The following is a 27988-nucleotide window of genomic DNA, read 5'->3' on the forward strand; positions in this document are numbered from 1 at the left end:
CTTTCTGCTCCCAAAGTGAAGCAGCACATTTAAATGCAGGATGCTTTGTGCCCTTCCCCAAGCTAGCTTCTGAATAAATTCACATTTTTTTTTTTTTGTATCAGACCTCACACTCCCTAACTGGACTCTGCATTCAGCAAACAACTAAACTCCTTTTTGGTTACAATAGACCTTTTAGAATAAGCTATGTTGTACTAAAATTTGTGCTGCCATTGCAATATATTGTAGTTACTTGCTTAATTGCTTGTTTTTTGTAGACTGTAAGATCAAAAATGTATTTGGCCACTTAAGACACTAATAAATCCACTAGTAAAGCACTAAGAAAAGTTGGGGACGGGGCGTGCCTGTTTTGTTTACCACTGTTTATTCAGAATGTAGCACAGTTCCTGACAGAAATATATGACTGAATATTCTCTCAAACACGTTATTGAAAAAAAAGTAACTGTCCTGTCTCTTTGTTCATTTGTTTTATGTTATCATTAGTTTTCACAAACATGGGGACCATCAGCAGGAATGTGAGGAATGTATAGTGCTCCCAATTAATCATAAAGAAGATATTATAATGCCTAAAACTTGCTACATATTGAGTTATCTCCCCAGATATATTAAAATTTTCTTTAGAAAATAAGTTTCTAATTATATTCCATATTCAGAATTCATATACCCAAATACGCAACAACCAGCACAAAGAAAGGATCTCAATTCAAATGAAAAACTATTTGCTCTCTTATTTCCTTAGAATTTTTCTAACTTATTTTTGTCCTCATTTCACTAACCAACCAAAGATTCCACTGAAAATGGAAGCGGAGGCCCCTACCACACTTGCACTCCAATCCCTTATGAAATTGACTTACCAATCAAAGATAAACATGAATAAGAAATTTGCTTTGTTTTGAAAAGAGACTAGGACTCAGTAGTGTGTTCTTCCCAATTAGCAAAATGAGTCCCTTTTTACTTCCCATGCCTAAGTTTTGCTTCTGCTTCCACAAATCTTTCTTTCATCAAGATACTGGGTTTTAAGTTGTTCTTTGTGTGTAAAATACTATGCGGTTTAGAAACAGATCATTCTTGGCAGGGATGTGTTGTATTGTACTGGGAGCAGGGCAGAAGGCTGCTTGTGTTTCCAGGTGGAGTTGCTATTTCTTTATGCTTTTATTGATGGAACAGTTTGATTTTGAATTTTGCATGTTTTTGTAGTGAAAAAAGTGGATTTTCATTGTGAGAGCAATAGGTAACATTGAATCAATCCTGGCAGCATTATTGTGAAAACAGGTGAATTATCCTAAGCAATTCACAGGTCTGGGAATTAAAGACCACAGTTTAGATCCCCACAATTCACAGGTCTGGGAACTAAAGATCACAGTTTAGATCCCCACATATTTTGTTTTTATCCACTAATCACCCACAACATTGTCATGGATGGAAAGTTAGAGTAACCCTTATAGTTTTGAGAAACAGTTTCCATTGTTCTTGCTGAAGTGCAGCATCACTGAAGTAATTATAGAATAAATAATTTACCACAATAATTGACTGTTGTGATTTTCAGCAGGTACAGTTTTGATTTTATTGCAAGGCACACAATCGTATATACAATGCATAATTATCATCTTTTAAAGTACAAGATAAAAATCATATACATTATAGTAAAGAACATATGAGTATATTCTTGTTTCAGAGAAGAAAATTGCCTTAAGGAAGCTGGGTTATACCGTTTTTGGATGTGATTTTCGTATTTATACTGAATCATCCGAACAGCTCTTGGTTAGAAAATAAATCTCATTGATAGGACACACAACCTTTCACAGCTTTCACTTTACAATGTTCCAATTTAAAGTCAGCCAGTGTGCTCCCTGAATTTGCATGAGTCATCGTATTTCATCCCAGGACTAGATGAAACACCTATAAATTGTCTGACAATAGTTATACACGTTTAAGAACTGTATTTCTTAGTAATATATCACAGAATAGAACCATTTTCTTAAGATTTTATGTGACTCTTTATTGATTTTTTTTCTCCAAGCTATTTTTCCAAATGATGTATTATTTTTGGTATTAAGCCTAGAGTTTTGACTTAAACTCGAAGGATGCTCTTAGATTGGTAACTACTCTGAGATACTAAGAGTGTTTCCACTCTCCTCCCAGTTAGAGTGGGGGGTTTCCTCCTCAGTGCTGCCCCTGCATGGCTGGTTCATTTCTCTGTGCCTTCTCTGACCCCTCGTTAGGACCTGTCTTCCAGACCTTCTTACCAGGGTGGAAAGAATAGGGTTCATGTAGAGAATGGATCTGAAGGTTAAACACATGGAGTTCTAGTCTCAAAGAGACACAACAGACAGTGTCCTCCTTGTTGAGGTCAGAGAATAGGAACATCAAGAAATGAGAGATATCAGAGAGCCAGAGGGGTTTGGACAAATGCATTGCCTGGAACAATGAATAAATGGCAATGTGGTCCCTGCTTCACAGCAGGACATCAGGACAAACAGAAAGCGTGTACACACTTTGACAAAGAAATACATTTGTGCAAGTGGTATTTTCCCTGCTACGTTGTTTACTTTATCATTCCTTTAAAGCAGTACCCTAAAATGATATTCCCTTCTTCACTCCTTTTTCAATGTTGGGGAGTCGATATTAACAAGAATCAAGAAGCTTGGACACCCCTTGTGGGCACATACAGCTACTATTCTCTCCTTGGGCTGCAGACTTACATATGAGGAGATGCAGGAAAATCAGGCAAACCAATAATGGCAATTAACGCTGTAAGAGCACGTGAAGTGCTAACTTAAAGGAAACAGGCCAGGCGTGGCCATTCACATCTGTAATCCCAGCACTTTGGGAGGCCGAGGCAGGTGAATATTCTGAGGTCAGGAGTTTGAGACCAGCCTGCATAACATGGTGAAACCCCGTCTCTACTAAAAATACAAAAATTAGCCGGGCTTGGCGGTGCACGCCTGTAATCCCAGCTACTTAGGAGGCAGAGGCAGGAGAATCGCTTGAACCCAGGAGGTGGAGGTTGCAGTGAGCCAAGACTGTGCTACCGCACTCCAGCCTGGGCAACAGAGCGAGACTCCGTCTCAAAAAAAAAAAAAAAAAAAAAGAAGACAGAAAAAATTAAAGGAAACACACTACTGTGATTTCATCTCATAATCCTATCTCTGTTATACTTTGCACTGGAAAGGAATCTGACGAGAAAGTCTCTTGGGTTTTCCTGTTCCATAAAGAAGTTTTTATATTTCCTATTTCACCAGGGCTTGTTTCTGGAACTATCCTCTATATAGATATCCTTCCTGTACCATAGCCAAGATTTTTAACTATGGGATTAGTGTAAACCAGTATTTAAGCAATTCCTATTTACATTCAGTTATAAAAATACAAGGGCAGATAGGAATCTCAATAAAACAAGAAATACTCAAAAGAGCACTTCATTTTCATTAGGAGAAATCACTTCCATTCTGCCATATGTCATCTGTGTTAGGTGCCATGATAATCTGGAGTAGAGGCAAACATGGTCAGAGTAACATTCTGAAGCCATGTGTAAAACCTTCAATGCAAGGTTTTGTTTCCAAAAGGTGAGAGTACATACACCACCGAGAACTTGCATGGTGAACAGAACTTAACAGTTGTAATGATGTCTGTAGTTACATAGGGCTATATATTCAATTTTTCTATTAAATTCCAGAGGATGCAGCCCTAGTAATATATAGGCTTGGAGTGTTATTTCTAAATTATCCCTTTTTTCTTCTCAGGCAAATTACAGAAAAAGCCATTACCTCTGAAATGGTAAGTTTCAGGGGGAAAAAGAGGGAATTTATATGTCATCTGGAAGTTTTAGCAAAATTACCCTAAATGTGCTGCTCCTGGCATTATCCTCAGCAGGTATGCCCTTCACAGAATGCCATGCAGGATGTGTCCTGGCACCAGGAGGGACATCATGTCCTCATTCAGCACACATTTAGGAACAATTCTACTTCCTGCTGAGAGCCACAAAATAGTACCTTGAGATCTACAGAAGCAAAACACCTTCCTCTCCGTGAATAGAGAGATCTGCGAATCGCTATATGTTCATAAAGAGATGTGGCAAATAAACTAGATCCTGCGAAGGCTACAACCTGGGAGCTAGTTAAAGCCTTTGTGATTCATTAGCACATGAGTTGTGAGCACTGTTACGGGACTAAATGGTATTCAGGGAGTCTGAAAGAGATCATGCCATGACTAATTCCCAGCAAAATGTCTCAGCATCAACTTAGCAACTCAGGGGATATCATTAGTGTGCCCTCAGGAAATTGCCTGGCTGGGAGGCAAGCCTATTCCTTATTCACACAGGTACTATTATTTACAGAAGATACTATATATATATTTTCAGTGGTATTCACACCACTTTATGTTTCTTGACAATGGGACATGCTTTATTATAAGACTGTTTACCTGAATAGCATGCTAAGAAAAAAAACTGTAGTTTTTGGGAAATTAAACCATGTTAAAAACAATCTTTTGAACGTTTAAATAATTTCATAAATAGCAAGATAATGTTCTGGTATAAGTGAACATCAGATTCCTCAGATGTGGGTCCAAGCCATATGTAAGCTGTAATTCTTACCACACAGCCACATGAAATGCATGTCCACACAGCATACAGTGAGCTGGGCATGAACCCTGGAAATAGTTCCCATTCCGTTGGAGGTTGTTGCTGTCATTGTGAAACATCTGGATTGGATGCCCATTGAGCTCTGAAAGCAATGTTTTTTCTTTTCCTTTTTTCTTAAACCGAGCTTTTGAAACTACGTTTCATAGGAAGGCCACAGCAGATGGGTGCTGAACCTTACCTAGCAAACCAGAAGGAAAAGACCTGTTCCCTTGTTCATCAGAGGAACTGAGGCTCTGCCTCGCTTCTGTGCCCTAGAGAAGAGGTGCATGTGTTGCGTGGACCTTTTGTCCTTGATGTTTCCACTGATCACGAACGTGGTCTGCATCTGATGACTTCAGACCATGAGATCTCTAAAAGTTTATTTTAAATTCTATCTTTTCATGTCAGACTGCAGTAGTGATCTGAGTTAAACCTAGATCATTGAACTCCTCTCTTCCCGAAGAACTGTACGAAGACATCTCCACGACTAGTCATACTGGTTTATTCATCCCATCGATGTCCCTCAGGTAAGCAGGATCCTGAACTGTATTTCGGACTCTGCTAGTGCTCTGCCGCTCCATCCTCATCTTCAGTGGAAAGCAGAAGTCCCGGAAACACCGCTTGAAGTTTTCATCAAGAAAGGCGTAGAGAATGGGATTCAGGCTACTGTTGGTATAGCCTAAGGCGATGCAGAAGTAATAGCTGGAGAGAGCAGCTGTGCTGTGGGAGGTGCTCCCCAGAGCCTCCACCAGGATGAATATGTGAATGGGAGTCCAGCAGACGACGAAGACTGCCACCACCACCAGGACCAGTCTGGTGATCCTACGCAGGTTGCGATCTTTCTCTCGGGAGCCAGAAAGGAGCCGGACGCTCTTGAGACGCAGGATCATCAGGGTGTAGCAGACGATGATGATGAGGACAGGGATCACGAAGGCAAAGATGAAGACGCAGATCTTCATGAAGAGGTCCCACCAGGAGTAGTCATCATCTGGGAACTGCAAGGAGCACTCAATGACATCGACGTCTGGAGGAGGGCAATAAAAACCACAACACAGAAACCTGTTATTGTTATTACCGTGGCTGCAAAGTGTTTTAAATATGAATTTTAATACCTTTTATTGCAATGGTCCAATTATGGTAAGATGACATTACCTGAAGTAGATCACCAAATTACTAATGAATACTGTATTTTGTTAGCCATCCTAATCTTTGTGCATGGAACAATGATGATAGTCACTGTTTACTGGTAACATACACAATACTGTAGAATTAAGATTAGCTGACAATCTTGCTCATCTAGTTGCAGAAGTTGGTTTGACACTGATGGCTTGCAGAAGAGGTAAAGAGTTAATGTATACCATGAGTACTTATTTCTATTTCCATTCATTAACACTTCTCCCAGACCTAAGGCTCTGGCAATAAAAAAGCTAATGTCTATTTGTAATAAATGACTAAATATTTCAAATCTAGCCACTGAATTTAACAAAAGCCAACTTGTTTGAAAAACATTAACTGGTTTACAGGAAATCATTATGTGGGTCAACAAAAATTGATATGGAATTTGTTTAAATATGACTCAAGTATTGTCATTTAATGGAACCAATGACACTCATTGTGATTAAGGGCATTACTGAAACACAAGTAAAACCTTTGGAGGAGGTGGGGGAGAATCATCAACATCATCAAGGGAATTCTGAGTAAATCAGGCACATTTATTTTCATTTTTACCAACATTATTATGTAGCTCAGATAAAACAAATATTTGTATGTGATTACTTAGAAAATTGCTATATTTGCTCTGCTTCTCTTTGCTGGGTAGTATTCTCTTTGGAGTAGCCTTAATATTAGGAAGACCAGGGACTCAGGATGGACACCTTCTAAACTATTTTTGTGGGTGTCCCATGGGCTCACCTTTCCCCAAACACCAGCTAGCCCACATTTCCAACCCCTGCCCCTGAGAAGTCAGCGAGCACACAGCAGAGCTCTCTTTGCCCTGGTCCTTCCTCACAGACAAGGTAGTCATGAGCAACACCATGAGCGTGATTACAGTAATGAAAATATTTTTTTCTGACACTGGAAAAATCTGCTTCAAAAATAGCACATGAATATTTTTTTAAATAGCAAAACAGCTCTATTAATGTTTTCTAAAACATTTTAATGCAATCTTAATAGAATATCCAATCTTACTAGAATTTTAATTACATATACTTTAAAATAAAAAGGATATAAACATTTTTGACAATTAATAAAGACTATCTTAGAGACCTTCATGTATCAATGAAATACCAGATGAAACCTTGGAGTAGTAAATGAACACTTCCAGAGAAATTTGTCATTTTTGATTTTTTAAAAAAGTCATTGTCCAAAGTAATATTACTATGAAGACTATTAACTTTTGCTTTAGTGTTTATGGTAAATGATTTTTAAATCATTACTATTATAATAGAATATAAGATATCCATTAAGCAACTTTTGATGGGTGACACATGAAAAAAAAATCTGAGTTCAATATAAATATTCTATTCTGGGTTTTGACTTGTTTGTTGAATCTGGTAGAAGAGTTTCCTTGGAGGTAGGGACCATGGTTTGGTTTGTTTTTTTCTGCTTAGCTTTTATTTTCAGCATTAGTTGTTTCCTGTGGCTGACCTCAGCTTATATGTCACTTCAGAGACGTTTAGATGGAGGTCTGTCTCTTAAATTGTCCTCTCCTCGGTAACTTACACTTTGTCTACATGTTATATTCACCCAATTTCCCAGACAGAAGCCTGTCTGATCTGTAATTGTGTGTTACCTTCCTAACATTTTTCTCTCCATCCAGAATGTGAACTGCCTTAGTGGAGAAACCCAGCCTGCCTTAATCAACACTGAATCCCTGGCACCTAGGGTAGTACCTGGAACATGTGGTGCATAAACAGAATAAATTGTTAAATAAATGAACAAACAAATACATACCACATGAATAACAAACCCTCGAAAGTGTGTCCTAATTACAGTAGTTATTATGGAAAAGTCACCGGCTAAGCTAAGCTAAGCAGAAGCCGCACAGGGCTGCTGTTTAATTCGGATAGACCTTTAACTCCGAGGCTCAGCTTCCTCCCAAACAAACTGCCTTGCATGTGGTGGGAGATGGTAAGTATTAGATGACTGGGTGAAATAATTAACAACAGCTACTTTACAAGACTTTGGGAAACAAACGTCCCACTACAGAGTTGGAAATATCCTCCAGAAATGTCAATGAAGCTGAATTTGTAGCGTAAAGAGAGTGCTGAGGCAATCATCAAGAATCCCAGTGCACTTCACATTATGCTAAGGGGATCAAGCCAGGCACAGAAAGACAAATATCACATGTCCTCAAGCATCATATTTGGGAGGTTAAAAAAAAAAACCTGAACTTACAGAGATAGAGAGTAGAACCTCTAGAGGTGACCAGAGGCTGGGAAGGGTTGTGGGGAGGGGGATATACAGGGGTTGGTTAATGCATACGAAATACGCTTAGAAGAAAAAGGATCATGTTCAGTAGCACAAGAAGGTGACTACAGTTAACAATAATTTATTATATATTTCAAAATAACTAAAAGAGTGAAATTGGAATGTTCCTAACACAAACAAATGAGAAATACTTGAGGTGATGAATATCCCAATTACCCTAATTTGATCATTACACATTGTATGCTTGTATCAAAATAGCACTGGTACCCCCTAAATATGTACATCTATTATGAATTCATAAAAACTAAGCATTTTTTAAAAAAGAAATTCCTGTCCAAGCATGCCATTTTTATTAAATGTTCTGTTTCAGGAAGAAGGGGGCATTTTCAGGTTGAAGTATCCATACAACTGCCTCAGTTTAACAAGCAGATTTTGGTTTCTTTATATATTAATATCAGAGGGCTGTGGCTTCTGCTGGCTCCTGTTCCAGCATCTCATGGTTGTCATAATTATAGAGTTAGTTCTAATAGCTAAACTAAAGCTTTTCTTGTGTGTATTCATTTTGTTAAGAATAATTGTTTCTGCTTATAGCGATTATAATAATTCTTAGCTACTATAAAAAAGTAAGAGCAGACTATGAATCCTCACATAATACACACACATATACTACAGTATGGAAAATATTAGAGTCAACATTTTACGTTCACAAAGTGAAAGCTTTGCCTCAGAAAAGTTTCTTGCACTTTATTTCTATTTGCTGTAGGCATGAAGAAACAAAATCCTATGTGTGATTAATCATATTTTGAAATGCAAATATGATAAAGTTGGGCATTTCTTAAAATTTACCTAGTAGTATAGCTTGACACCTGCTATGGCTATGCTAGAAATTCATTTTGTAGTTTCAGAGGGAAAAGATCAGCTTCATTAAAAAACAATGAATAAAGTCATTATACATTTGTTCAAATCCACAGGACACATAACCCGGAGAGTGAGCCCTCCTGTAAACTCCAGGCTCTGAGTGATAACGACGTGTCAGTGTGGGTTCAGCAGCTGTAATAAATGGACCACTCTGTAGGGGAGGATGTGCCTGTGTGGGGTAAATGGAGGTAAATGGAAGTGCCTCTCTGTGCTTTCTGGTCAGTTTTGCTGTGAACCTAAAACTGTAAACTGAAACCTAACTAGATTAAGTCTAAAAACAAACAAACCATGTATCATGCAAGACAAGCTATGATTTTAGTGCCTTGCCCTTTCACTATGACCTGGAAAATCCTCACTATATACACTCAGTTATCTGCTCTCACAGGTATTATGAACCCCCTAGTAAACTGGAGCATTTATATACCTGCTGGAGCATTAAACAGCATGAGTAGGCCCAGAGTGACTATTCTGCTCACCTCCCCATCATTAATTTCTATGAGGAACAAAGATGCTTTCTATAGCTTTATATTTTGCTAGTAAAGCAAAACTCCTAGAACAGTACCTCTCACCTTGGCTGCAGGTCAGAGTCACCTGGAGAGAGCTCAAAAATCTTGACACCCAGGCTGTACCCCAGGTCAATTACACCAGACCCTTAAGGGGTGGGATGCAGGCAGCAGTGTTTTCTAAAGTACCCAGGTGATTCCAATGTGCAGCCCAGAGTGAGAACTACTGTCCTAGAAATACAGGAAAAACATCAACAGGGGGCCGGGCGCAGTGGCTCACGCCTGTAATCCCAGCACTTTGGGAGGCCGAGGCGGGCAGATCACGAGGTCAAGAGATTGAGACCACCCTGGCCAACACGGTGAAACCCTGTCTCTACTAAAAATACAAAAATTAGCTGGGCATGGTGGTGTGTGCCAGTAGTCCCAGCTACTCGAGAGGCTGAGGTTGAACCCGGGAGGCAGAGGTTGCAGTGAGCCGATATCGCGCCACTGCACTCTAGCCTGGCAACAGAGCAAGACTCTCTCTCAAAAAAAAAAAAAAAAAAAAATCAGTTGGCTGGTTTGCATGGGGTAAAACCTGATATGTCCAAAATCAAGTGGTTCTGCTCATCTGTAACTACCATCCGTTAACTTGATTTTGAATGGCCTACAGCCAAAGCTGTTAAAATAGTGATTTGGAGGTTATCCTTTAGGAATAAAAGAGGAAAGAACCAGCATATGTCACCAATAATTTATATCCCTTGTTAAAGAGAAAAAAAGGAGTGAGAAGGTGTGTCCTGGACTTGCCAGGTTGTACTTTAAAATTCCACATGCCTGTGGTTTCTTACCTCATCCTCACCCCTCCACTTTCTACTAAACATTGCCAGAATGGGAGACAGGTCGGGCATCTCTCTTCTGGCAATGTCATTATTGCATTCTGTGTTTAGAGGTGGAAAGGGACACAAAATTGTTCTACTTCTCATCTTCCATGGATTTAGGCACTACATTTCCGTCGTCTTTTGGCATCGATTTCCACTAAATATGTGGCCTACTCACGCTCAAATTAAAAGTCTATGTAATTTGAAGCTACATTTTTATGAACAGAATGAAATGACTGCTCTTACCTTCCCTGACTTTGGTGCCTCCAAGGACTATTGCAGAGATGCCAACAGATGACGACAGCAGCCAGATGCAGATATTGATGATCTTTGCCTTCAAGGGTGTGCGGAAGTCCAAAGCCTTCACGGGGTGGCACACGGCAATGTAGCGGTCCACGCTCATCATGGTCAAGGTGAAGATGCTGGTGAACATGTTGTAGTAATCAATGGAAATTACTATCTTGCACAGCACATCCCCAAAAGGCCAGGAATTCATCAAGTAGACCGTACTCTGAAAGGGCATGGTTGTAGTAACTAAAGCATCTGCCAAAGCCAGGTTAAATATGTAAATGTTGGTTGCTGTCTTCATCTTTGTGTATCTAAAAGAAAAGAAACAATAGCATTTCCCTCCATTTTCAAGTCAAACCCATAAGGTGAATGTGTTTGTGATAGCCTTTGGATTACTGATTTTGCTTCTTCATTCAATTATTCTTATATTCATTGAGGGTCTAACATGTAAATGGACTGTTCTAGACATTGATAGGAAAAATGGACAAAGATCTCCAACTTTATTGTTTATTCTAGTGCTTTGTTTAAAAAATTTCAATATAGAAGATACAGAAAATAGCAGAGATAGATGAATAGACATATAGATCTAGCATTGCATATAATACAGATCTTTATTTTGTGGCTGACAATTCATCTTAATCCTGCCCAGAGTCGCTTGGCTTTAAGCATTTTTCAAACACTATATTCATTCTCTTTGACTTGTTTAAAACATTTTTTTCCTCAGGGTTATTTTGAGAAATCAATCATTATAATTATGATGTATTTTGAAAATACAAAATGGTTTTCAATTTTGATATATGCTCAGTTGCAATGGCTGAAACACAATTAGGTTTGCTGATTTTTGTTCTCCAGTGCACCATTAATTTGTCATTTTAAATATATTATATAAATAAAGCAGATTGAATTCTGCTCTTACACATCATAGCACTAAGCATAGTATGGTACAGCAGAAAAGAAATAATTCTGTCTTTCTTTACTCCTTGAGATATTTTCTAAGCACGTAATATGTCTCATCTTCCAATTGAGAGAAGAGTAATTTTCAAGGTAGGTAAGAAAGATTGCTTTTATGCCTGAGTTATTCTTTACATTATAACATGATGTTTAGGACAACTTAATTTTCAACTAAGACTGAGTTAAGAGGGTTGTTTTGCTTAGAGAATGCTTCCTCAAATATCCATAGAGTATTAAATAAATGTTCCAAACCATACCATCAGATTTTCAAAGGCCAAGAGCTGAAATATGTTGGGAAAATCCATACGTTGATTACTTTCTACAGCCTCAGATTTGAAGATCTTGTCACAATTCAAGCGTGCCCCATTTGATACATGAATTTCCACATGAGAAACAACTCTGAACATTTCATGATAGAACAGAACAGCTCTTGCTCCTCTTGGAGGCAGTGTGGTCTCATGTGAACTCAGACAATCCTGAGTCTGAACTCAGAGAATGACTTATCTGATTTTCAGTTCCTGCTAAATAAGAATCATAAAACCTAACTCACAGTACGTGAGACAAGGGCAGTAGATGGCCTGATGCACAGGTTCACACTCCAGCCTCAGTGTCCACTGCCTTCCCTCCCCACCTCCCATCTCTACTCATTAGGAAGTGGCTGTGTTTGGGGTCAGCTGGGAAGGCATTGTGAAGACGGGTACTAGAGTTGGTATCTGTTAGTTTCCATTTGGATGTTCTGCTTACTAAAGAGTGATTTAATCTGGAAAGCGAGGAGTTTATTTAAAAATGTGTTTTGCCTTTATACTTTTTATTCAGACATTATTAAATGACCTATAAGTTTTAGATAGTGACTAAACATGGATGGCCAAGTTCTCATAGCACAGGCTTTAGAAAAGCAGAGATAGCCAAGCAAGGACAGTTACTGAGAAGGAGCCACATGTTTCTAATGAGAAAGACTGAAATGCTATCTGTTCAGATATTTTCTTAAAAATATGGTTTTATGTTTGAAAAAAATGCATCTTACAAACCTAACTTCTACTCTTTCAACTCCTCCCACCCCAAAACCCCAGATACTAGCAAGGATTCCAGCAGGAATCTGACTCCTGCTCTTGTATTTTATGACTCTGATATTCCCCTCTTTCTTTATGAAGTCAGAGTGGCATTCTTTTTGCTATAAACTTAGGCAGACCTGGGTTCTAGTCCTTATTTTTCAAACTAACGAGTATATTTTAGAGGGTCCTTAACCACCCTGAGCTTCAGTTTCCCCAACTATAAAATGGAAACTATAATATTTATCTCATAGAGTTCCAGGGGTAATTAATGAATGCACCTGACCCAGACAGCATGTCTAATCTATGTCATGTTCCCCAACTCCCACCTCCCTTCTTACGTGAGTGGAAGCCACCAGTTACCACAGGAAGCAGAAAAGAATGTAGTTTCTAGGTAACATCCATGGTCATATTTACCCAGTTCAGCTTAAATATAAAAGGTGAGAATAAAAAGGAGCCCCAGGACCTGACACAAAGAACATGAATGCAATGATCCATAAATTACTGTAAAATGTAATGTGCATCTTTAAGTAGTCATACAATGTAGAGTGATAGCTTGATTTTAGTTTTTCAAAATATTTATAGCCAATAGATGTATGAAACTGTGTAAGACTTGAACATGTAAAGAATTCAAACTCCATCTGCAGATCTCAGAGAGATGAGTACAGGCAATAATCACACTGACCACATTTCCGAAGTGCCTGCGTCAGGACCTCTGCCATGCATTCCCCAAGCTTTGTCTCAATTCATCCTCACAGTCACTTCATGTGGTAGGTACTGGTATCCTTATTCTATAGATGAAGTGACTAAGAATCACAGGATTTTCTTTAAAATTCTCAAAGTGATATAACTATAGGCATAGCAGAAATTTAAACCCAGGGGTTTGATCCCAATTCGTCCATTCTTACATCTCCCCAGCACTTTGTAATTTGCAAAGTCCAGTATTTTGACTTCCCCGTATCTTACTTGATTCTCGAAACTACTGCCCTTCTAGTTTACCTGAAAGACTTATGTCTTTTCCCTCATATAGCTGAAGAAATTTAGGCTCAGGTAAGTTAAGTGATTTGTTTGGTGTCAGCAGAGGCAGGACCTCAGTGGGAGGATCTGGATGGGGTGGCAAGGCAGGGCCCCCTTCCAGGTTTCTGGAAGACACATGCTTATAAACCTACAACACTAGAAGGGGAGAACTCATGAGTATAATTAAAAGTAATGAATAAACTCTGAATTCAATGAATATTTGTAGATAGTTCTTCTGCGTACTACACTGGACTACTCTGTGAACGTGAATATAAAGCAAGGCTGTGACGCTCAGAGGCAGGCTGGTTGAGCCCCAGGGTATTGTTTGTATCTAACCGCAACAGAATTAGCCAGTCTTTTCATTCACTGTATGTCCACCACTGAAAAAACAAGCAAGCTTTCTCATTATGCTATGATATGAAATTATTTTCCATTTCACCCACACTGCTTTACAAAAATTCACAAGCATTTTAAGCAAAATGGCACCATCTGGGTGGGAAGTTCTGGCTTGTGTGGAGGAGCTGGAAGTGGGCTGGCAGCTCGTGGCTGCACTTTTGAGCATACACACCGCAGGAGCATATGGTATGAAAAGAGCAAAGTCCGTGGGCTGTCCTCGCTAAACTGACAACATAACAGACCTGAAAAAACAGTACGGTGCATGGAATGGGAAGCAAGGGGCAGGCCGGGAAAGAGGGCTTACCTGGGGAACTTGAGTTGTGAGCACCGGGAAGGCTATGGTGGCCAGGCAACAGGGCGGAGGGTGTTCCAGAGACTTAGAAATGCTCCCCAGTGACACTTTAACTCAAGACCATCCTAGCGTACTTCTCTTTACAGAGAAACGAGGGTTGGCTTCAAAATTGGCAGACACTGGTGCTTGTGTGATGGTGAGGGGAACAAAGTTATCTGCTGAGATGTCAGGAACCAGTGTCACCAGGCAGGGTTTCTGGGAGGACGTGACACTCACCATGCTAGAAAGGTGGCACTTGAGAAGGGGGAGCTGACCCTGCAACACAGCACTCTCAGGACTTCCTGTCCTTTCCATGCATGGCTGTACTCAGACAATATGCAGGAGGTAGAGGAGGTAATTATTGGATTATTAGCATGCTTTGCTGTTGAGGTGCATTGCCTAGGTTTGTTTTCTGTTTTTTAAATTTCAATGATGCTTCTTTAATCAGGAACTCCTTTTCACCTTCATGACAATAGTATAATAAACCTTTAATCTTGATGACTGATTACCATATACCTTTCAAATCAACACACTTTCAGTTGCACTGATTTCAGTTATTCTGGGTCTTCTCTTGCACTTGTCCCCTATGGTGACGCATGCACCCTCTCTTCCCTCTCCAGTTATGTGCATGGCCCCTCCTCTGTCTTTACTCTTTCATTTCCCTACCCCATAAGTAGCAATATACTAGACTTTGAGGATGACTGAAAAACTCAATATACAGACCCTGGCTCTGAGGATCTTTTAAACTGAGAGCAGATTATAATGTGAACTATAGGAATACATGGAAGAGAAAGATTGCTGTGTAGTGAGGAAATCAGCACATATTCTGAAGAGAAAATTTAGCAGGATCTTGAGATTTGAGAAAGATCTGGACAGAGAGAGAAGCTTTCTGGCTAGTGTCTTATTCAGAGTCAATGAGGAAATGGATTTCCTGGTTCAGGGTTCCTGCTGAGGAGTCACAGGTGGCTGCCTGGGATGGGAACAGTAGTGTCAGGCCACAGAGGGCCCTGAACACCAGAAGGAAAAAAATCACTTTAACATTTATTGATGACATTATGTGACAGACACTGTCTGGGGAATTCCATATTATCTGATAAAGTTGTCATGATGATTAAATGAGACATGCATAAAATTACTTAGCACCAGACTGGTACTTGATAATTTCTTAGTGAATGCCAGCCTTCATTGTCACATGACTGCTCCTGCTGTTGTTACTGTTATTATTCATTACCTGCCACAGCCCTAATAAGCCATATCACAATCCCATAAGATATCACTGCCCCTACTTTCTTCTGAAGAGAAAAAGTTTGAGAAAACGTCTTAGAAATACTCTCAGTGTTTTTCAGTTCTTGGAATCTACATGTAATAAGTAAAGGAACTCAGGCTTGTCTTATTCCAAGCTTTCTTTAAAAACCAGGTATTTTATCAGAGAAATAAATACTGCCACTTCCTGCAGTTCAATGTTGAAAAGCATTCTGATGAGGACGGTCAAGTATGCATCATGAGGGTAGAAAACATTTAGCATGAGAAACAGGGCAAGGTCCAGGCAGAAATACTGTAATAATACATTAAATACTACCCCTCAATGGACAAAACAATGTCATGTACATTGTGGAATTTTTCCATAGGCCCATTTTTGGGGGTGGGGAAACTGAGTTAAAAGGGAGTAGGTGACTTGCCTGAAACTACAAACTAGTGAGACAATGGGAATTCAAACTTCAGCTCCAATATAATAAAAAAGAAAAAGGAAACAAAACAAAACAAAAGCCCTGGTGATTTTCTAAATAGATTCCTTTAATACAGCAAAAACCTAAAGGTCCATAGAATGCACCTGAACAAATGCTGTTTGGTGAAAACACAAGTGTGATCAAATGCCATGGACCCACAGGAAGCTGGTGGCTCTCTTACAACACTAGAGCTGCCCTTGGAGTCCAAAGAGGCCCAAGACACCAAACTCAGTAAGAGGAGAGCTCTGCAGCAGCAGGGAAAATGCAGTCCTTCTTCACAAATGATGGAAGATGAGCATGGTCAGAGATGAGTTTGGGAGCTCTTTTCTCTGTATTGCCAACAAGCATTTTCCTGGGCGTGTCTTCCAGATGCATGGCATTCTAGATTTTATGTGCAAAATGATCAGAAATGGTGGGGGAAATGGAGAGGGCTGGTCAAAGGATACAAAGCTTCAGTATAAGATGAATAAACTCAGGGGATCCAATTTACAGCAGGGGGCTAGCATCAACAATACTGTATTGCTTATCTTGAAATTTGCTGATTGAGTAGATCTTAACTGTACTCACCCCTCCAATACACACCATACATGCACAAAATGGTAACTGTGTGTGGTAATGGCTGTGTAATCTGTGGTAATCACAAATTAATGTATATCAAATCACCATGTTGTGCATGTTTAATATATGTAATTTTTATTTGTCAATTATGCCTCACCAAAGCTTGTGGGTGGGGGGAATAATGAACTCTGATGTAAGGTATGGCCTCTGGGTTATGATGTGTAAATGCAGGCTCATCAGTCCCACAAATGTCCCACTCTGGGGGAATGTGAGAATGGAGACTGTGCATGTGTGGGGGCATGGGGTATATGGGAACTGTAACTTCCCTTCCATTTTTCTGTGAAGTTAAAACTGCTTTTTTAAAAGTCTGTTTAAAAAATAAAAATAAAATGAAGAATGATGACCGTGCTGACGTGACTTTTCAGTGGAACTTACTTAAAAACATAATGAGTGTTTCACTAAATTTTTCAGTCAGTTTCAGTTCACCTCAATGAAATTAACTGCTATATGCTCTTCTGGGTTATTTACTATTGAAATTGTAGGGTTTTTTTTCTAAAGGGGCAGTAGTTTATTAATTCTAGAAAAGAAAGGAGGGAGGCAGAGGCAGGAGGATGGCTTGACCGCCCCACTGCACCCCAGCCTGGGCCACAGAGAGAGACTCCATGTTTGTTTGTCTGCTTAAAAAGAAAGGTAAAAGGAAAGGAAAGAAAAAAGAAAAGGAAAGGGAAAGAGAAAGAAAGGAAAAATGGAAGGAAAGGAAAATGGAAAGGAAAGATAAGGAAATTAAATTCACTGCTTCTCAAAGGATCTGATATCCTTTGATATCCCTCAGTCTGTAGTATTCTGAAGGAGTCATACTCACATAGGAGCCAGGCCCTTGCAGCTCTCCAGAATCACTCTCCTGGTGCAAAGCGCAAAGGCGTCAAGAGAACAGCAGGCACCCACGTGCGATCAGGACTCCAGACGCACAGCCCCGCGCAGGTGCAGGCTACCCATGCAGAGTGGCAGCAAGCAAGGAAGGAAGGGTAACGGGGAGCGATGATTCCGCGGGAACAGCCAGTGCCCCTGGGAGCTGCTAAGCTCCTCCTCTCAGTTGTCCCGGCTGTGGAATCATGCGCCTCTGGACCCCTAGAAGGAACGTTCTAGTGCATTCAGGGTTATGTGCAGGGTGAGCGCTTCTCACGCCCAACAGCACCTATAAGAAAATGGCACCTCGCTAATGACTGGCGTGCACTTTCCTAGGGCACAACTACCCGGATGCCTAGCGGTATATGGATACTTAAAATTAGTTTTCCTATTTTTATACAGAAAGCTGACCTAAGTCAAAGCAAGCCACAGAGCGTGGGCACATGGAGAGGAGGATGATGGCCCTCTTGCGCTGCCCTCTACCCATGAAGCCAGTTCTCCACTGGACAGGAAGCAACCCAGCCAGGCAGAGGGCGCTGAGAAGATTCAGGGCTAAGCAAACTGGGCTGTGATACTGGATTGATCATTTAACAACTGCCTGCCCTTGGGCAGTTCATTAAACCTCTGTAGTTGATTTCCTCATCTGAAAACGAGCTCTAACAATCTTCATTTCATAGGTGTGTTGTGAATTTGAGTGAGCTCAACAGGAGCTCTGAAAATCAGTCCTGTCATAGCTGATCTCTGACTGCATGTAACTAACTCCAGCCATTCTTTTTTTATTTATTTTTTTAGACGGTGTCTGGCTCTGTCGCCCAGGCTGGAGTGCAGTGGCGCGATCTCGGCTCACTGCAAGCTCCGCCTCCCGGGTTCACGCCATTCTCCTGCCTCAGCCTCCCGAGTAGCTGGGACTACAGGCGCCCGCCACTACGCCCGGCTAATTTTTTGTATTTTTAGTAGAGACGGGGTTTCACTGTGTTAGCCAGGATGGTCTCCATCTCCTGACCTCGTGATCCACCTGCCTCGGCCTCCCAAAGTGCTGGGATTACGGGCCTGAGCCACCGCGCCCGGCCACTCCAGCCATTCTTAATCCAAGGCTTCCCTGCCCGGCTTCACACCAGTCCCTTTGGGATCTCTCAATTCATCACATGGTTTTGTCGTCTTCCATTGAAATTCCAACCTGTTTGGCCAATGGAGAAGGCAAGTGTTAAGCCATTTATAGTATTATCCCCACTCCTAAAATCTATTCTTCATATATAAGCCTTCCTTATCCAAGACATAAACCAGCACCCCCTCCAAAGAAAGGGAAAAAAAGGGACTGCTGCTGATCTTTCTGTTGAGGAATAAATCAATGTTATTCTGAAACTATCTCTTGTTAATATGATTCTAAGTATGTATTACTTGCACCACTGAAACCACATAAGCTAAACCTTCAAAAGGCAACTGTCCTGCAGCCATACAATTTGAGATTTTTAGCTGAGCACAGAGACTCCTGGGGCCATGACAATTAAGTGCATCCAAGTTAATCAGGAATGAAGGGAGGTGCCAACTGCACAGCCACATGAAAATATTGCTGCTGATGAGATGCAGCTGAATGAGTCATGGAGAGGAGATATTCTGTACCAGTGAGAAGCAAATTCCTTCTGAAACTAACTCTGAGACAGGCATCAGAAAACACGTAAAGTCAACACAATCAAGAAATGATTTTGAAGGCTACAGTTTTTCCTGGAGTCTATTAAAGTTTAGGACCTCTATACCTGATCACCCAATTGGTTTCTCGCATTCTCACTTGCTCTCTTTCTCTCTCTCTCTGCAGTTGTATAGTCTCTGATCCCTGAGAAACAGTTCCACGAGACTTTGGCCTCCATCTGTGATCACACATCCCTCAGGGGAGAAAATAATTTGGCTAATCCACATAAGCAGTTGCAATTCTCTCTTTCAAAAGGTTGTCAAATGTATACAAATTACTTTGAGAAATGAAAGATAGTCTCTTGAAAATAATTTCTGAAGTTATTTTTGCTACATTTGTATTAAAGAAAATGTTTAAAGACAGGATCAAGAAATTAAAGACAGTTTCAAGAAAAATTAGAACATACTATATTAACCAAAGCCTAAAATAAGACTGGTGTCCTGTAGGGAGCAGCCATTGGTGAATTATACAGGTACCATATTGTACCTTTGCTTTTTTTTAATGCCTCTGTATGTGTGATTTGGTGATATTATCTAAGGTAGGCTATGTTGACACTTAGGAGAATGTGGAACATGTATGTACACACAACTACAGTGATTACAACACATACTTCAATGATGGAGAAGAAGAAACTTGGGAGAGAAGAGGCAGGCATTGTGCCAGACCCTCTGTCACCCCATTCCGTCCCACATTTCTCTAGTTCCAAGACAGCCACATAGTTCTGGTGAGGCTGAGACAAGTACAACCATGAGGCCCAGACTGGCCCAGGGGTGACTTGAATGAGTCAGTAAATGGCACATAACCTAAGATATCCCAGCAGAGGAAGCCTGGAACTTCTGTTCAGTGGACTGGGGAAGAAACACTGTATCCTGCTATTTATAAGCAAGAAGAGGAGTATTTTTAGAAGGACCAAGCTCTACGCCTAGCAAGCTTGGGTGAGTTGGCTCCCTTTGGTGCAGAAATTTGAGTTCAGGAAATGTAACCATTTCCATAGTACTTTTGCAGTTTTGTTTTCTTCTACACCCCTTACAAAGTTCCCCCTTTGGGGAGGTTTCAATACTGCTGAGGCTGAACTGTAGGGAAGCAAAAGTCTCCCAGAGGAAGGTTCGTGAGAGATTGAACCCTACAGGTCTGTATTGTGATAGCAACAAATTAATTACAACTAATGAGAAAAGGAATAGGCTAAACTAAGACCAAGGATCAAAGAATTTTCTGATTCCTCCTATTTTTTCTTGACAAAATTTCCTTGTTTATCCTTATAATTAATTTACAGAAATAAATGAAAAGAGAACATATACATAATTGTTGTGAAAACTGAAGCTTGACAGAGTGTCCTCTTAAGGAGAACAGAAAGAGGATGGGCAGTGTTCTGAGCTGAACCGTGTCCTCTCAAAATTCCTATGTTGGAGTCCTAAACCCCAGTACTTCAGAATGTGACTGTACGGTCCTGCCTTGGTATCCCTGGGGGAGTGGTTCCAGGATGCCCCCGTCAGATCCAAAATCCATGGATGCTCCAGTCCCTGATATAAAATGAGATAGTTTTTGCATATAACTTATGCAGATCCTCCCTTATACTCTAAGTCATCTCAAGATTACTTATAATACCTACTACAATGTAAAGGTTATGTAAATAGTTGTTATACTCTATTGTTTATGGAATAATGACAAGAAAGAAAGTCTGTACATCTTCAGTGCAGGTGCAATTTAAAAAAACAACATTTTTCAGCCATGGTTGGTTGAATCCATGGATGCAGAATTCACAGATATGGAATGAGGGCTGACTGCATTTGGAGACAGGAGCTTTAAAGAGATAATTAAGGTAAATGAGGCCATATGGGTGGGCCCCAATCTGATATGACTGGTGTCCTCATAAGAAGAAGAGATTAAGACACAGATGTGTAGGGGAAAGGCTATGTGAAGTTACAGGGAGAAGGCAGCATCTACAGGCCGAGGAGAGAGGCCTCGGGCCTCAGGGGAAGCCCTGCAGACACCTTGATCTCAGGCTTCTGGCCTCCAGAACTGTGAGACAATCAACAACAGGGGTTGCTTAACCCACCCAGTCTGCGGTGCTTTGTTATGGCAGCCTCAGCAAACTAAGGGAGGCTCTAGAAACCTGAGGTGTCAGGGAGATCATCACACTGAGCCATTTAGAAGGAAGGAGTCCAGCTGAGTCTGCAGAAAGGAATGGATAACTGGGAGAGAGAGAGATAATTAGATTTAGGATTTGTCAGAATGTACCTGACAGTTATGGCCACACAAATGGATGAAACCATTGAAAGGGAGTGTGATGAGTCACCTTGGCCAGGCTACAGTCCCCAGGTTTTCAAACACTCATCTCGGTACTGCTGCAAAGGTGTTTTGTAGGAGTGATTTGAGTCCATAATCAGTTGACTTTAAGCAAGGGAGACCATCCTATGTAATCTGAAAATGGGGCCTGATCCAATCAGTGGGAACCTTAAAAGCAGAGCCAAAGATCCCTGAGGAAGAAGAAATTCTGCCTGGAGAGCAGCAGCTTGTCTCTCCTGACTTCCTATCTTAGCCAGTCCCACAGTCACCTATGCCATTTTTTTGTGAGAAATTTCTTAACATGGACATCCTCTACTGGTCCTGCTTCTTTGGCTGATCCTTGACTAATACAGAGAATATGCAAAGTGAGGACAGAAGAGAGCTGAGAAGGCTCTGGAGAATATGAGCATTTAGGAAACCTCAGAGGAAGGGCAATCTGTGCAGGGGAGCAAGGAGAATGCCAGAGGATGTGGGGGAAGCCAAGGAGAGGGTGCTATTCGAGAAAGTGAGGACCTAAGGTCACCCAAGCATGCCAGACCCTCCACACAAGCCAAGTGAAAGTGGCCTAAAACGAGCATCTGAAACACACACCAGGGCTTTGGTGAAGGAGCATCAGGGGGAGCTCAAATGCTCAGGGCAGAGGACTGCGTGGAAGAAAAGGAAACAAAGAGTAGGGATTACTCCTCCAAGAAGCTTGCCTACCCATGACAGGCAGGAGGATGAAGGACATTAGCTAAGGAAATGAGGAAAATGGAGGGTTGGTGGATAGTGGGTTGTTGATTGTTTGTAAGATGACAGATGCTTGGTTATGTTCATGTGCTGAAGAGCAGGTGAAGAGGGAGAGATTGCAGACACAGTAGAAAGGAGATAGCTTATATGGTAAAGACCCCAGGAGCAATGAGCTTCAAAACCAAGGAGAAGGAATTAGCCTTGGATAGAAGGAAGGAGAATCTTCCTGTGAGACAAAACAGAATGCAGGGAGGATGGCTGCCAAAGTGTGTATGTAGAGAAGCAGTGTTCCTGAGGGCTGCACTCCAGTGTCTTGGTGAAGTACTGGGTAAAAACACTCATGAAGAGAATATGATAAAGAGAGTAAAGAATATGACCATGAAGAGAATATGATCAGGTGGAGGGTTTGGGAATAAGGGTAGATTTGAATTCATTTTTTAAAATGGGAAATGAAACAAGGAATTGGCTCTTTCTGGAAAACAGAAGAGGGACACAGAAAAACTTCTAGGGAGAATTAGGGTCAGATATACTTGAAGGTGGTGACTGTCTTGACAAAAATAAAATTGATTTTATCCAACAGCATCCAACTAGCTGGGTATAGGAATAAGGAAGGTAGGTTACTGGCTTGATCAAGGGTTAAGGCTTTGGTGGAAGACACTGGCAGAAGTACAAGAAGGCAGGACACTTGGGTGTGTTGTCAAGACAGAGCTTTAAGTGATAGCTCATGCAGTCTAGGATGGGGAAGAGAAAAAGAGACAATCTGGGAGAAAATGTAGAACCTCCTGGAAAGAAAGAATCCAAATGTTTGCAGGAGTGGTATGGTGGGAAATGAGGAGCAGAATGGATAAGAGCATAGGATCAATGGTCAGGCCACTGGCATCATTCTGGCCCCGTGAGTTACCCAGGTGTAACCTTAGTTTATTTCATCTTTCTGCGCTTTAGTTTCCTCATCTGTTAAGTGGGTATGGTAATGATATACCTATAGTTGTGAAGATTAAATAATTCACATGAAGAAGGTAGCTTTACCTGCTTGACACATATTAAGTGTTCATTAAATGTTAGTTATCTTCTTTAAGGGAGGAGAAAGTCGAACGCGTATGAAGTTGTGGTAAGAGTGGCAGAATGGATGTTTGTGATGTCAGAGGTAGGGCTGCCTCTGGCAGGGCAAAGGGGCGTGAGTGTCATGGTGTTCATTAATTAATGAAAAATGAAGACTGCACGGGGGAATCCTGCACAGGAGGAAGTCAGGAACCACAGGATTAGAATCATGATGGTCAGCCAAGTGTAGTGGCTCACACCTGTAATCCGAGCACTTTGGGAGGCCAAGGCCGGCAGATCACTTGAGATCAGGAGTTTGAGACCAGCCTGCACAACATGGTGCAACTCCATCTCTACCAAAAATACAAAAATTAGCATGGTGGTGCATCCCCATAATCCTTGCTACTTGGGAGGCTGAGGTGAGAGAATTGCTTGAGCCTGGGAGGCAGAGGTTGCAATGAGCTGAGATCATGCCGCTGCACTCCAGCCTGGGCAATAGAGCCAGATTCTGTCTCAAAAAAAAAAAAAAAAAAAAAAAAAAAAAGAATCCTGAGGGTCACACCCACATTCACACCCAACAACCACAAACCCCAAAGCCTGATGAGTGAGGGGGCTGGAGCACTGACATTTGAAGGTCTCCACAGTGAAAGTTAATGTGCCCTAATTATCAAGGGATTATGTCAGTTGGTACACACTAAATGATGAGAACTCTTGAAACTTTAAATCAGAAGATACGAGGCAGCATTCCAGGGGCCCAAGGTGGGAAAAGCTATTTGTAAGGCAGGCCTAAAAGTAGGCATATCTTTCTCCAGAGCTCTTTCTCCCCAGGTCTGAGCTGAACAGTCTAGATCTGCACCTGCCCACACTCTGAGCATCTAAGTTCCATTTCTACAATGATTTTCTATAAGGTTGAACTATGCTAGGAGCCTTTCCCATGTAAAACATATAAAATAGTATCCTTCATCTTTCAAGCACAGCTACTCAGTCTCTTCAGTAACAAGGGCTATGGGGCCTCCACACCCTGGTTCTGCACTCAGGCCTGATGATCACAACGCAACCCACTTCATGCCACCCTCTCTCTGATCTTCAGTCTCTTCATTTCCTAAGATAAATAAACCCAAGTACATCAATTCTTCTTCAAAGGTTTTATTTTTCAATCCTTGAACCATCTATCATTATGAAATAATACTAAATACTCCTTTTCCTTCTTAGCTATAGACTTGAGTGAACTAGGTTCACTAGACATTAACCTTTTACTTGTGAAGACCTTAAAATGTATGTGCTCTAGCCATAAGTGAACTAGATAGATTTCAGTAGGTTGGTACTCCAGGATGGCAGTAGAACTCTTCGCTTTTCATTCATCATCAAACGTAACCTTTAAGTATTGGGAGGTGGGAGAATGGAGAATGATGTATGTGAACTATCCAACTTCTTTTATATTTTTAGCTGAACTTATCCCCTTATAACACACTTTAGTGTTGGATATATTTGGGAAATCTATCCATTAAAAATCCTAGCTAATCTACAGGATTTTTTTTTCCTTCTTACATGTCAAATGTTCCCCATGGAGTTATATTTGCACATAACATCTAAATGTTATTTTAGGATTCTTCATTCTTTTTAATCCTAGTCTGCAAAAGGTTGTAGAGCAACTACAAAGCTCTTTTCAAACTGCAGACTTCAGGGGCTCATTCAAATAACAATATGTATCTGTTTTACTTGAGCACCTAAATATGATATGGGTAGAAACAGAGCTATTTTTTTTCCTAGAGCTTTCTTTTGCTTAACAATGTTTCTATTACCCCACCACCAAATAAATAGCTTCTGTACCAAAGATCTCCTAAAATTTTTAATTAAAATTTAGAATACAGTTGTCTTTTCTTTTGTCTAATTGTCTCTTTAGTGGAGGCCAGCCCTGAGATTACTAATGACTTGGACAAACAATTTAATTTTAAAATATTCCTTCCTTCTATAACCTTTACTCATCATGGATAGAATTCCTGCGAAATGCAATAGGCAATTATGAAAACCAAGGGCACCAAGCTATAAACACTAGTTGTTGATGAAATGAGCTTTATAATATGTGTTTGGCGACTTAAATGATGGTTTTTAATGTCAGAGCATACATAGGAATAAAAGACCTGACATTCTCAAGCAAAAAAGTAAAAATAAAAATAAAGCAGTATTTTATTATGATAATTTTCCAAGAGAAACATTTATGCTACCATTCATGATATGGTTGTTAAAGTTCATAATAAATAAATGGCCTGTTTCAAAACTAAAATCAAGCTTAAAAAAAATCAGCTATTCATCGTTTCAGAGTCCCTAGCCAGGGTGACTTGCATCCCGCCCTTATTTCATAGAGACTTCTCAAAGGAACACAAGCTTCCTACTCCCTCTCACAGGTGTGTTGACAAAGCTCTAGTGCTCCCAGAAAAGGAAACACATCTATCTTAAGAAAAGTGCAGAACAAAGTTAGGTTTTCCTTTTCTTGTTTTTCTTTCTTAAAGTCAGAATCACTTTGCTTACCAAAAAATTAGCATATATGTGGATATTGGGATACTTATTATTGGAAGTTGACTTGAAGAAATTTCCACACACACACACACACACACACACACACACAAATAAAACCTTCAATTTCTCATGGTGAAAAAAACAGCGAAGTAGTTTTTGAAAATCTCCACAGGCCATGTTTTAGAGGATAAATATTATTTACTGATATTCCTAACAAATGGGATGCCATTTGATACTAAAAAGGCTCATATATGCATATCAACAACGCTAGAGCATATATCAGGTTTTGTTTCATAAGCCAAAACACCAGTCTGAGGAGTCCCAGGAAATTCGGAATTATCTTCAGTGCATTGGGTGGGCTTGAAATTTATCTTAAGAAATATTTGCAAAGGGCATAACAAAGTGCTCCAAACTGGCGCAGGCAAATGGATTAGTTCCTTTACCAGGAACCCCTGACCCTGTTGTCAGCACCCTGGCACCTTGCCCTGCGCATAGAGTTTTCAGCAGAAACACTGGGCCCTAGGGTGGGGTCGGGGGGTTACTCTGAAATCTTCCAGACGCCCCTGGCCGCTCGGATTCGCCTGTGTGAACCTCTCAGCACTCCACCAAAAACTCCCAGAAAATCCTTCACCTCTTCTAGGAAGCCACCCTGTAGCATTTCCAGGATCCTTCACGGAACAGAGTCCCCACCACCTGGCTGGCTGCCCCCACTGCTGCTCCAGTGGCGGGGCCTGACCCTCACTCCCTGCCCCGCCCAGCCCCCAGCGCTGCGCTGTCCCCGCGCTCACCGGATGATCACGAACATGACCAGCGAGTTGCCCACCAAGCCCACGACGAACACTACGGAGTAGACCGCCGTGATGATGACCGGGATGGCCGGGGAGATGTGCGCGGGCTCCAGCTGCGCGTCCTCCGAGCCGGCGCTGCCGTTGCTGTCGGGCTCGGCCCAGCCGGGAAACCAGGCGCTGCTGTTGGGGGGCAGGCAGGCGCTCGGGGCGCAGGTAGGGCCCGGCTCCCCGCGGAAGATCTGGATCGGGGAGTCCATGGTGGGGCGATTGCAGCAGGAAGGCGAGGACAGGCGGCACCTGCGGCGCTGCGGGAGCGAAAGAACCGGCTGGACGCGGAGAGGCAAACTTTGCCCGCGCCCTGGCCAGCGGCGCTGGGGACCCGGAGCCTGCGGACTCCCACCCGGGCCGCAAGTCGCCGGGGGCAGGACAGGGAGAACGGACTTCTCGCTGCCTTTCCGGCCAGCAGGCGCGCCGCTGGGTGCCAGAGAGGGGCGAAGAGCGCTCGCTCCTTCTCCCCCAGCCCCTGAGGTGCCTCCCTCACCAATTCTAGGCACCGGCCCCTGGTGGAACTGTCCCCAGACTGCCTGAGTCCCCAGGGTCAAGCCCCCTTCCCACCTCCCAGCACGGAGCTCTACCTAGAACTGCACCTCGAAAGCCCAAAGCTTACCTATGGTTCCCAGAGACAGGCGAAGGCGAGGTTTTTTACGGGACGCCCTGGTAGGTGCTGAACCGCGCGCTCACGAGTCCCGCTCAGCTCTTGGCATCACCTGCTCTCGGACCCCGGCCCCGCTCTCCGCCCGAGGGCTGCTGTTCCGCCGAGCGCAGCCCCCGCCTCTCAGCGCACGTCTCCCACTACTGGCGGCGGCTCTGCGGGGCGGGGCGGGGCGGGACCGGCGGGACGCAGCCGGGACGCGGCTGGGCGCTGGGGGCCTGCGGGCGGAGAGCTCGTCTGGTGCGCCCGCCCCAGGCCGGCAGGTCCCTGCCCCGCCCCGCCCGCCCGGAGTCAGCCCCCAGCTCCCCAGCCTCCCAGCCCCGCGTCCCCTCCAGCCCCGCAGGCTCGCCCGGCCCACTAACTGCCCGAGCGGCACACCGCCTGGTCCCCGGCCATGCAGCCTTCCCCAAGACCTGAGACTGAGCCATTTAGATTTAGTAAAAAGGAGGAGCATGCCTATTTAGTGCAAGTATGCACCTGGATTTTCATATTGTGTCTAGAACTTCTTATCTGCATAGTTCGCAGTCAGGAACTACGCTTATTAGAATGGCCCATCCAAAGAAAGTAACAAAATGATCCAGTTAGAATAAGACCAGTTCATAAAATAATGACTTAAAAGACACATAAATAGAATATTTCCTTGCGTTCTCTTCCATTCCGTCTGCTCTAACTGGGATGACAGG

At 42.0% G+C, this 27988-nt stretch overlaps 1 protein-coding gene and 1 long non-coding RNA gene across 4 annotated transcripts in view, besides 2 other annotated features; one reads left to right on the forward strand and one right to left on the reverse strand.

Moving 5' to 3' along the window:
* LOC105375836 (uncharacterized) overlaps positions 1 to 6066 on the forward strand; it is a 52683-nt gene extending 46617 nt beyond the window's left edge. Inside the window, exon 3 of the long non-coding RNA NR_188096.1 lies at positions 3741 to 6066. This is a non-coding gene — a long non-coding RNA (uncharacterized LOC105375836). The remainder of the gene's footprint in view (positions 1 to 3740) is intronic.
* OPRK1 (opioid receptor kappa 1) lies at positions 1537 to 27450 on the reverse strand. 3 transcript variants are annotated; one of them, NM_001282904.2, is made up of 5 exons: positions 27261 to 27450; positions 26594 to 26898; positions 18552 to 18725; positions 10572 to 10924; positions 1537 to 5642 (listed from the first exon to the last, which is right to left on the reverse strand). In NM_001282904.2, exons 4-5 carry the CDS (start codon positions 10912 to 10914, stop codon positions 5110 to 5112), a joined length of 876 nt encoding a protein of 291 aa, NP_001269833.1. In that variant the 5' UTR covers positions 10915 to 10924; positions 18552 to 18725; positions 26594 to 26898; positions 27261 to 27450; the 3' UTR covers positions 1537 to 5109. The 3 variants fall into 2 exon arrangements, with proteins under 3 accessions (NP_001269833.1, NP_000903.2, NP_001305426.1); NM_000912.5 differs by lacking the exon at positions 18552 to 18725.
* Positions 11931 to 11990: an enhancer, noted in NCBI's record as "active region_27355". NCBI's record gives its function as "activates an Ori minimal core promoter by ATAC-STARR-seq in GM12878 lymphoblastoid cells {active_cell/tissue: GM12878}" and the evidence as "EXISTENCE:reporter gene assay evidence [ECO:0000049][PMID:35858748]".
* Positions 21163 to 21292: an enhancer, noted in NCBI's record as "active region_27356". NCBI's record gives its function as "activates an Ori minimal core promoter by ATAC-STARR-seq in GM12878 lymphoblastoid cells {active_cell/tissue: GM12878}" and the evidence as "EXISTENCE:reporter gene assay evidence [ECO:0000049][PMID:35858748]".
* Positions 27451 to 27988: the final 538 nt, after the last annotated feature.

Source organism: Homo sapiens, chromosome 8, assembly GCF_000001405.40.
Source record: "Homo sapiens chromosome 8, GRCh38.p14 Primary Assembly".
Taxonomy (NCBI): domain Eukaryota; kingdom Metazoa; phylum Chordata; class Mammalia; order Primates; family Hominidae; genus Homo; species Homo sapiens.

What these genes read in the sequence shown, in the direction of transcription:
- OPRK1 (NM_000912.5), bottom strand. Translation starts at nt 26,850, where the DNA reads ATGGACTCCCCGATCCAGATCTTCCGCGGGGAGCCGGGCCCTACCTGC. An exon ending in GTCATGTTCGTGATCATCCG is followed by an intron (nt 10,925 to 26,593) that starts GTGAGCGCGGGG and finishes CTTTTCTTTTAG; the next exon opens with ATACACAAAGATGAAGACAG. An exon ending in AGGCACCAAAGTCAGGGAAG is followed by an intron (nt 5,643 to 10,571) that starts GTAAGAGCAGTC and finishes GCCCTCCTCCAG; the next exon opens with ACGTCGATGTCATTGAGTGC.